Source organism: Homo sapiens, chromosome 3 (genome assembly GCF_000001405.40).
Source record: "Homo sapiens chromosome 3, GRCh38.p14 Primary Assembly".
Lineage (NCBI taxonomy): Eukaryota > Metazoa > Chordata > Mammalia > Primates > Hominidae > Homo > Homo sapiens.
The window spans coordinates 184,085,744-184,095,117 of NC_000003.12; the positions used below are offsets into that span (position 1 = coordinate 184,085,744).

The 9,374-nt window shown below is 40.6% G+C and overlaps 1 annotated feature.

Annotated features, from left to right (window-relative positions):
• Positions 6,585–6,785: a silencer, noted in NCBI's record as "peak4964 fragment used in MPRA reporter construct". NCBI's record gives its function as "represses an SCP1 promoter by STARR-seq MPRAs in K562 erythroleukemia cells {active_cell/tissue: K562}" and the evidence as "EXISTENCE:reporter gene assay evidence [ECO:0000049][PMID:32103011]".

Genomic DNA, 9,374 nt, shown 5'->3' on the forward strand with positions numbered 1-9,374 from the left:
AACCACCCTGTCGAGATACCCTGTCCTTCAGATCTGGGTAATCTTCGTATTGCAATAGCCTGAATAAAATTAGTCTTCTTGAATAGGAACAGCTCCAGTCTACAGCTCCCAGCGCGAGTGACACAGAAGATGGGTGATTTCTGCATTTCCAACTGAGAAGACCATTTTGCTTGTTATACTGTGGATATAGATTGACTGGAACGTCATGGTGAGCCTGGACTATGAAGACAAAAGCAACATCTTACAGAAGGTTAAGTGACAAGATAGAAAGATCCTGGGGCCCTGAGGACTTCACAAAGCAGAGCCCCTATAACTGCTCATATGTTTACACAAAAGAGAAATGGCTATACCAGGGGTTGGCAACAATTTTCTGTAAAAGAGCAGATGGTAAATATTTTAGGCTTTGCAGACCATACAATCTCTGTCACAGCTACTAACTCTACAACAGTTACAGACAATTCATAAAAGAATGGGTGTTGCTATATTCCAATAAAAATTTATTTACAAAAAAAAAAATCAGTCTTCTTGGCCGGGCGTGGTGGCTTATGCCTGTGATCCCAGCACTTTGGGAGGCCAAGGCAGGTGGATCATGAGGTCAAGAGAGACCATCCTGGCCAACATGGTGAAACCCTGTCTCTACTAAAAATACAAACAATTAGCTGGGTGTGGTGGTGCATGCCTGTAGTCCTACCTACACAAGAGGCTGAGGCAGGAGAATCGCTTAAACCCAGGAGGCGGAGGTTGCAGTGAGCCGAGATGGCACCACCACACTCCAGCCTGGAGACAGAGCGAGACTCTGTCTCAAAAAAAAAAAAATTAGTCTTCTTATTGGTCGGTTTTTGTCTTCTACAAAATTCCTCAATTGCCTGTAATTTAAAAAGAGCTGCAAAATAGTTCAAAGACAGTAAACAGGGCTAGAATCCAACAGCTGGAATAGTTGCTATGGTCAATGCATAGTTTCTCATGGAAGTACAAAATTTTTTTCTATAATCTTCTCCATTTTCGATAATCTCCTTCCTAACCTCAAGGGAAGATTATAATCTTTTTTGAAGACTAGTCAAGTGCAGTAGGCAGAAGAAGGGAAGGAGTAGAACAAGGAATTCCGTCTGTAACTGACTATGAACAATCAACTGAGATAACTCACTACCTTCAGGCCAGCCAGGAAAATTATTCTTTTTTCTTTTTTTTTTTTTTTTTGTTTTGTTTTGAGATGACGTCTCACTCTGTCGCCCAGGCTGGAGTGCAGTGGTGCAATCTCGGCTCACTAAAACCTCCGCCTCCCGGTTCCAACCGATTCTCCTGCCTCAGCCTCCCGAGTAGCTGGGATTACAGGTGCCCACCACCATGCGTGGCTATTTTTGTATTTTTAGTAGAGATAAGGTTTCACCATGTTGGCCAGGCTGGTCTCAAACTCCTGACCTCAAGTGATCCATCCACCTCGGCCTCCCAAAGTGCTGGGATACAGGCATCAGCGACCACGCCCAGCCTTTTTTTTTCTTAAGAGACAGAATCTCACTCAGTCATCCAGACTGGAATGTAGAGACACGATCACAGCTCACTACAACCTCAAACTCCTGGGCTCAAGTGATCCTCTCACTTTAACTCCCAAGAACCTGAGGTTAAAGTGTGTACCAATACATCTGGCTAATTTGTTTTATTTATTTATTTTGAGATGGGGCCTTGCTATGTTGCCCAGGCTGATTCTGAACTCCATGATCCTCTCACCTCAGCCTCCTGAGTAGCTGGGATTACAAGTACATGTCGCTGTGCCTGGCAAGAAGATTCTTTTTGGTCACAAAATGAGACTGGTCTTAACATTTGGCTTCAAGTCTTTACATGGGTACAACAAGAGTGGTAAAGTACCATTTAGGGCTTCTTAAGTTTGCCTTGCTAAAAGTTTTCAAAAAATCCCAAACTTGACTTTCAAAAGCCTCTTGAAGCCAGATAGCCACACCAAGAACTCACCACCAGATTTCACCTGAAGGACCCCTAAATTTGAGTGAATTTGTCTCTTCTTAAGGTCCTCAAAATATCCTAGGGTTCTTGGGTCCACCTGGACCTGTAAGACTGGCAACGCTATAAGCCAGGTACTAGGCCAGTTTTCATGGAAGGGGTTTGTAAGCATTGGTTCCACAAAGTCAACCTTAGTTCTTTAGAAATGTCTAACCATATTTGATTAAATGAGCATCCTTCTGAAATATGATACTCCAGGCAAGGCCTTGGTTGCATAACCAACGTTTCCAATTCCATCCTGGTAAAAAGGAAGACAGAGTCATCGAACCTATACCAATAACTACATTGTCATGAAAATACAATAATTATATTGTCATGAAATTAAGAATATTTTATAAGAGTTTGCAAATCCTGTAGAGGTCAGGCAGGGAGAAGAAGTATCATTTACAAATGTTTCACTTCAGTGTAAAAAACAGAGTCTTTTTAAAAAGCAGAGTTATAATTACTAAATTGTTGACTTATAAATAGCTTAAGAGGAAAGAAAATGGGCTTCCTTAAATATCTGGAAAATAGAATATTACAACAATGGCCAGGCATGGTGGCTCAGGCCTATAATCCTAGCACTTTGGGAGGCCACAGTGGGTGGATCACTTGAGGTCAGGGGTTCGAGACCAGCCTGGCCAACATGGTAAAACCCTGTCTCTACTAAAAATACAAAAATTAGCTGGGCATGGTGGTGCACACCTGTAATCCCAGCTACTTGGGAGGCTGAGGCAGGAGAATGGCTTGAACCCGGGAGGCAGAGGTTGTAGTGAGCCAAGATTGCGCCACTGCACTCCAGCCTGGGGGATGGAGCGAGACTCTGTCCCAAAAAAAAAAAAAAAAAAAAAAGAAAAAAGAAAATATATTACAACATGAACAGTATTTCAAATGAAAACTGCAAGTGTCCCTTCTTAGTTCATTTGGTCCTATATAATTAATTATTATTTGACTAGATCTTGGGTTAACAATCTCATGAAATCCATTGGCTTCTCAACTAGAGTTCTAGAAATCCTGACTCAGTCCACTAGTATGATCTCAAAGCTGTTTAAGTGTTGCCATCAGACACTATGCCCAAAGTATCCAGCATAGTCCTTTCCCACAGGATTTTGTGATAATCCTTTATTGAAGACAGACCGCTCTGGCCTGTAGCTGATTGTTGAGCTTTCAAGGAAGTATCAGAGTAAAATAAAAAACTATCTGTAGGTAACAAAAGACTTAAAATGGTTATGATTAGTTTACTAACTTATTAATGATAATTTTAAAACATGAAAGATCCGATGAAAGTTCATTACAAGAATTACACAGCTGGCAAGGAAATTTGATTGTTTCTGTGAAATGCAAAACAAGATAATAAAGTCAATCCAACAACAGCTTTTGGGCTGGGCGCAGTGGCTCAAGCCTGTCATCCCAGCACTTTGGGAGGCCGAGGTGGGAGGATCACTTGATGTCAGGAGTTCAAGACCAGCCTGGCCAACGTGGCGAAACCTCATCCCTACTAAAAATACAAAAAATTAGCCAGGCATGGTGGTGCACACCTGTAATCCCAGCTATTCGGGAGGCTAAGGCAAAAGAATCGCTTGATCTCGGGAAGCGAAGTTTGCAGTGAGCCAAGATCACACCACTGCACTCTAGCCTGGGCAACAGAGAGAAACTCCATCTCCAAAAAAAAAAAAAAAAGCTTCTGACAAAATCATTATAAATGTGACAATTAACTAGATTTTCAAAAAAGACAGTGAACATTACATCTAATTTATAAAAAGGGATGAACATGATCTTTACAGAGAAAAAAATGAAGATATAACATACAATAATCCTGACTTAATATATCATATATATAAGAAGTGGACCAGGAGTATTCAGGAGTCTTTGAATGGCTATTCTTAGGCAAACATTTTTAAAAATCATATATCATGAACTTGCTAAGTTTATAGCAAGAACATACAAAGAACATATTGAGAACATCAAGAGATTCAGTAAGTCTGAATTTCTGAGTATCTGTATATTAATAAAACTACATAAATAAGTTATCTGAATCCCTAGTTGCAACCTACTGGCCTAGAAGATGCTAGATTCAAATTGAAGAAGTAAAAAGGTGACCATGTTAACATTAAAAAGAAATTAAAATGTAACTGAAGGCTCCAATCACATGGCCAGAGGTCTGCTGCGCTCTCCTGGAGGCCAATACCCAATTCAGTTCTGGTCCAAAGGAAAGAGATTTTGGACATAGATTCACACAGTTCCTCTAGACTTGCTTTTTCTTTTTCTTCCTTTCTTTTACTTTTTATTTTTTAATGATTTTTAAAAATTTTTTTGAGAAAGAGTCTCGCTCTGTTGCCCAGGCTGGAGTGCAGTGGCTCAATCTTGGCTCACTGCAACCTCCACCTCCTGGGTTCAAGCAATTCTCCCTGCCCTAGCCTCCCAAGTAGTTGGAATTACAGGCATGCACCATCAAGCCCGGCTAATTTTTGTATTTTTAGCAGAGATGGGGTTTCCCCATGTTCGCCAGGATGGTCTGGAACTCCTGACCTCAAGTAATTCACCCATCTTGGCCTCCCAAAGTGCTGGGATTACAGGCATGAGCCACCGTGCCCAGCCAAATTATTTAAAATTTACATAAGTGTTGTGAAGCTTGTACAAAGAGCTCCTGTGTGTGCTTCACCCAGATTTTCCAAATGTGGATATTTCTTTTCTTTTCTTTTCTTTTTTTTTTTTTTTTTAAGACAGAGTCTTGTTCTTGTCGCCCAGGCTGGTGTGCAATGGCCCAATCTCAGCTCACTGCAATCTCTGCCTCCCAGGTTCAAGAGATTCTCCTGCCTCAGCGTCTCAAATAGCTGGGATTACAGGCGCCCACCACCATGCCTGGCTAATTTTTTGTATTTTTAGTAGAGATGGGGTTTCACCATGTTGGCCAGGCTGGTCTCGAACTCCTGACCTTAGGTGATCCACCCCTGTTGGCCTCCCAAAGTGCTGGGATTACAGGTGTGAGCCACCATGCCAGGCCAATTGTGGATATTTCTAAATCGTTGAGAGTGAGCTTCATAATTGATGACCCTTTAACCCTAACTACTTCAGTGTATATTTCCTAAAAGCTAGAACACTCTCCTATATAACCATAGTACAACCATCAAAATCAGAAAATTAGTATCAATACAATGTATTGTATTGTCTAACTTATAAGCCCTATTTGAACTTTGCCAATTCTTCCAATAATGTCTTTTTTTTTTTTTTTTTGAGGCAGTCTCACTCTGTCGCCCAAGCCAGAGTACAGTGGCACAATCTTGGCTCACTGCAACCTCTGCCCCCTGGGTTCAAGCGATTCTCCTGCCTCAACCTCTTAAGTAGCTGGGATAATAGGTGTGCGCAAACACACCCAGCTAATTTTTGTAATTTTAGTAGAAACAGGGTTTTGCCATGTTGGCCAGGCTCGTCTCGAACTCCTGACCTCAAGTGATCTGCCTGCCTTGGCCTTCCAAAGTGCTGGGATTACAGATGTGAGTCACCACGCCCAGCCTCCAGTAATGTCTCTTATAGGTGTAGGACCCAATCCAGGAATACACACTGCATTTAGCTGTTACATCTCTTCAGTCTGTCAATCTGGAACACTGCCTCAGTCTTTTCTTGTCTTTCGTCATCTGGATATTTTGAAGAGTATAGCTAGTAATTTTGTAGTTATTTTGTCCCTCAATTTGGGTTTGCCTAATTACTTCTTCAACTACTCATGACTTATGCCTCTTTAGTAGGAATACCCTAGAAGTGGTGCCAAGTTCTTCTTAGTGCATCACAGAAAGTACACAATGTCAATTTGTCACTTTACTGATGATAACTGTTATCACTCAGTTAAAAAGATGTCTGCCAGATTTCTCCACTGTAAAGCTAATTAGTAAGTATGGCATATAGGTAACTTTTTTGTGGAGCACTACTTTGAGACTATATAATTATCTCATTCCTCATCATGGGTTTGAACTGCAAGGATCCACTTATCTTCAGATTTTCTTCTGCCTCTGATACCCTGAGGCAGCAAGACCAACCCCTTCTCAGCCTACCTACATGAAGATGAAAAGGATGAAGACCTTTATGATGATCTACTTCCATTTAATTAATAGTAAGTATATTTTCTCTGCCTTATGATTTTCTTAATAACATTGTCTTTACTCCAGTTTACTTTATCATAAGAGTACAGCATATAATACATATAATATATAAAATATGTGTTATACACAGATTTTTGACTGTGCAGGGTGTTGGTGTTCCTAAACCCCAGTAGTGTTCAAAGGTCAACTGTACATTTGTTGAAAGATTATAATAGATGATCTCAAAATTATCTAAAGATATAGATTCTCATCCTTTCAACCAAGAAGTATAAATTACATGAAGGAACAAACCACAATGAGACAGTTATCAAAACAGTCAGCATACCAAGAACTAGACATAATAAAACAATCTGAAAGAGATTATAAAACAACTATGTTCCAACTTCTTAACTCATTTAAGAGATCATTATTACCCTGATACCAATGCCAGACAAAGGCACCATCCCTTATGATCATTGATTCAAAAATCCTCAATAAAATACTAGCAAACAAATTCAGTAGCATATCAAAAGAATTATATACCATAGCCAAGTGGGATTTATTCCTGGAATGCAAGGATGGTTCAATATACAACAATTGATCAATGCAATACGCCACATTAACAGAATGAAGCGGAAAAAATGATCATCTCAATTAATGCAGAAAAACATTTGACAAACTTCAACACCCTTTCATGACAAAAACACTTATAGAAGGAAACAACCTCAACATAATAAAAGCCATATATGAAAAACCCACAGCAAACATCACACTCCATGGTGAACGTCTGAAAGCTTTTTCTCTAAAAATCAAGAACAAGGCAAAGATGCTCAATTTCACCACTTCTATTCAACGTAGTTGGCCAGGTGCGGTGGCTCACACCTGTAATCTCAACATTTTGGGAGGCCAAGGCAGGCAGATTGCTTGAGGCCAGGAGTTTGAGACCAGCCTCAAACTCTGTCTTTAGTAGAGACATGGCAAAATCCCATCTGTACTAAAAATACAAAAATTAGCCAGGCATGGTGGTGCATGCCTGTAGTCCCAGCTTCTTGGGAGGCTGAGGCATGAGAATCGCTTGAACCCAGGAAGCAGAGGTTGCAGTGAGCCAAGATTGTGCCACTGCACTCCAGCTTGGGCAACAGAGCAAGACTCTGTCTCAAAAAAACAAATTAGCTGGACATGGTGGCACATGCCTGTAGTCCCAGCTACTTAGGCTGAGGTGGCAGGATCACTTGAGCCCAGGATTTCTGGGCTGCAGTGAGCTATGATCACGCTACTGCACTCCAGCTTGGATATCAGAGCAAGACCCCATCTCTAAAAACAAACAAACAAAAACAAACTAAAAACCACATAGTCCTGGAAGTTCTAGCCAGAGCAAGTAAGCAAGAAAAAGAAACAAAAGGCATCCAAATTGGAAAAGAAAGAGTAAAATTATCTCTGTTTGCAGATGATGTTATTTTATATGTACAAAATACAAAAGATCTCACAAAAACTAGTAGCACTAAAACTAATACATGAATTTAGCAAAGTATCAGGATACAAAGCAAACAAACATCAGTTGCATTTCTATACATTAGCAATGAATGATCAGAAAAGGAAATTACAAAAATCAATTCCATTTACGATGGCATCAAAGGAAAAAAATACTTGGGAATTAACTTAGCCAAAGAAGTAAAATTCTTGTACAATGAAAACTATAAAACATTGCTGAAAGAAATTTTTAAAAAATATAAACAAGTGGAAACACATCTCATGTTTATGGATTGGAAGACACAAAATTGTTAAAATGTCAATACTACTTAAAGCAATGAACAGACTCAATGCAATTCCTATCAAAATCCCAATGACAATTTTTGCAGAAATAGAAAAACCCATCCTAAAATTCATACGGAATGTCAAAGGACCTTGAATACTTGAAACAATCTTTAAAAAGAAAAATGAAGCTGGAAGATTCACACTCCCTGATTTCAAAACATACTACAGGCTGGGCACGGTGGCTCACACCTGTAATCACAGCGCTTTGGGAGGCTGAGGCGGGAAGATCACCTGAGGTCAGTAGTTTGAGACCAGACTGACCAACATGGTGAAACCTCGTCTCTACTAAAAATACAAAAATTAGCTGGTCGTGGTGGCATGCACCTGTAATCCCAGCTAGTTGGGAGGCTGAGGCAGGAGAATCACTTGAATCCAGGAGGTGCGGGTTGCAGTGAGCCAAGATTGTGCCATTGCACTCCAGCCTGGGCGACAGAGTGAGACTCTGTCTCAAATAATAAAAAAAAAAAGGCTGGGCACAGTGGCTCACACCTGTAATCACCGCTACACAGGAGGCTGAGGCAGACGGATCACCTGAGGTTGGGAGTTCAAGGCCAGCCTGACCAACATGGAGAAACCCCATCTCTACTAAAAATACAAAAAATTATCCAGGCATGGTGGAGCATGCCTGTAATCCCAGCTACTCGGGAGGCTGAGGCAGGAGAATTGCTTGAACCTGGGAGGCGGAGCTTGTGGTGAGTGGAGATCGTGCCATTTCTCTCCAGCCTGGGCAACAAGAGTGAAACTACGTCTCAAAAAAAAAAAAAAAAAAAGAGACAGACATGTATAGCAATGGAATAGAATAGAGAACCCAGAAATAAACCGTCACACAAATGGCCAAATTATTTTTGCAAGAGTTCCAATGGGGAAAAGACAGACTTTTCAAGTAGTAGTATTGGGAAAACTGGATATCCATATGCAAAGAAATGAAGTTTGACCCTTACCTAAAACCATATACCAAAATTAACTCAAAATGGATAAAATATTTTACATGTAGGGCTGGACGCGGTGGCTCACTCCTGTAATCCCAGCACTTTGGGAGGCTGAGGCGGGCAGATCACCTGAGGTGGGGAGTTCGAGTCCAGCCTGACCAACATGGAGAAACCCCGTCTCTACTAAAAATACAGAATTAGCTGGGGGTAGTGGCACATGCCTGTAATCCCAGCTACTTGAGAGGCTAAGGCAGGAGAATCACTTGAACCCAGGAGGTGGAGGTTGCAGTGAGCTGAGATCATGCCATTGCACTCAGCCTGAGCAACAAGAGTGAAACTCCGTCTCAAAAAAAAAAAAGAAGATTTAAGTGTAGACCTAAAACAATAAAACTCCTAAAAGAACACATAGGGAAAAAGCTTCAAAACATTGGAGTTAGCAGTGATTTCTTGGATATGACACAAAGGCATAGGCAACAAAAGAAAAAATAGACAAATAGTACTTCATGAAAATATTAAACATCTATGAATCAAAAGACACTATTAACAGAGGAAAGAAGACAACCCA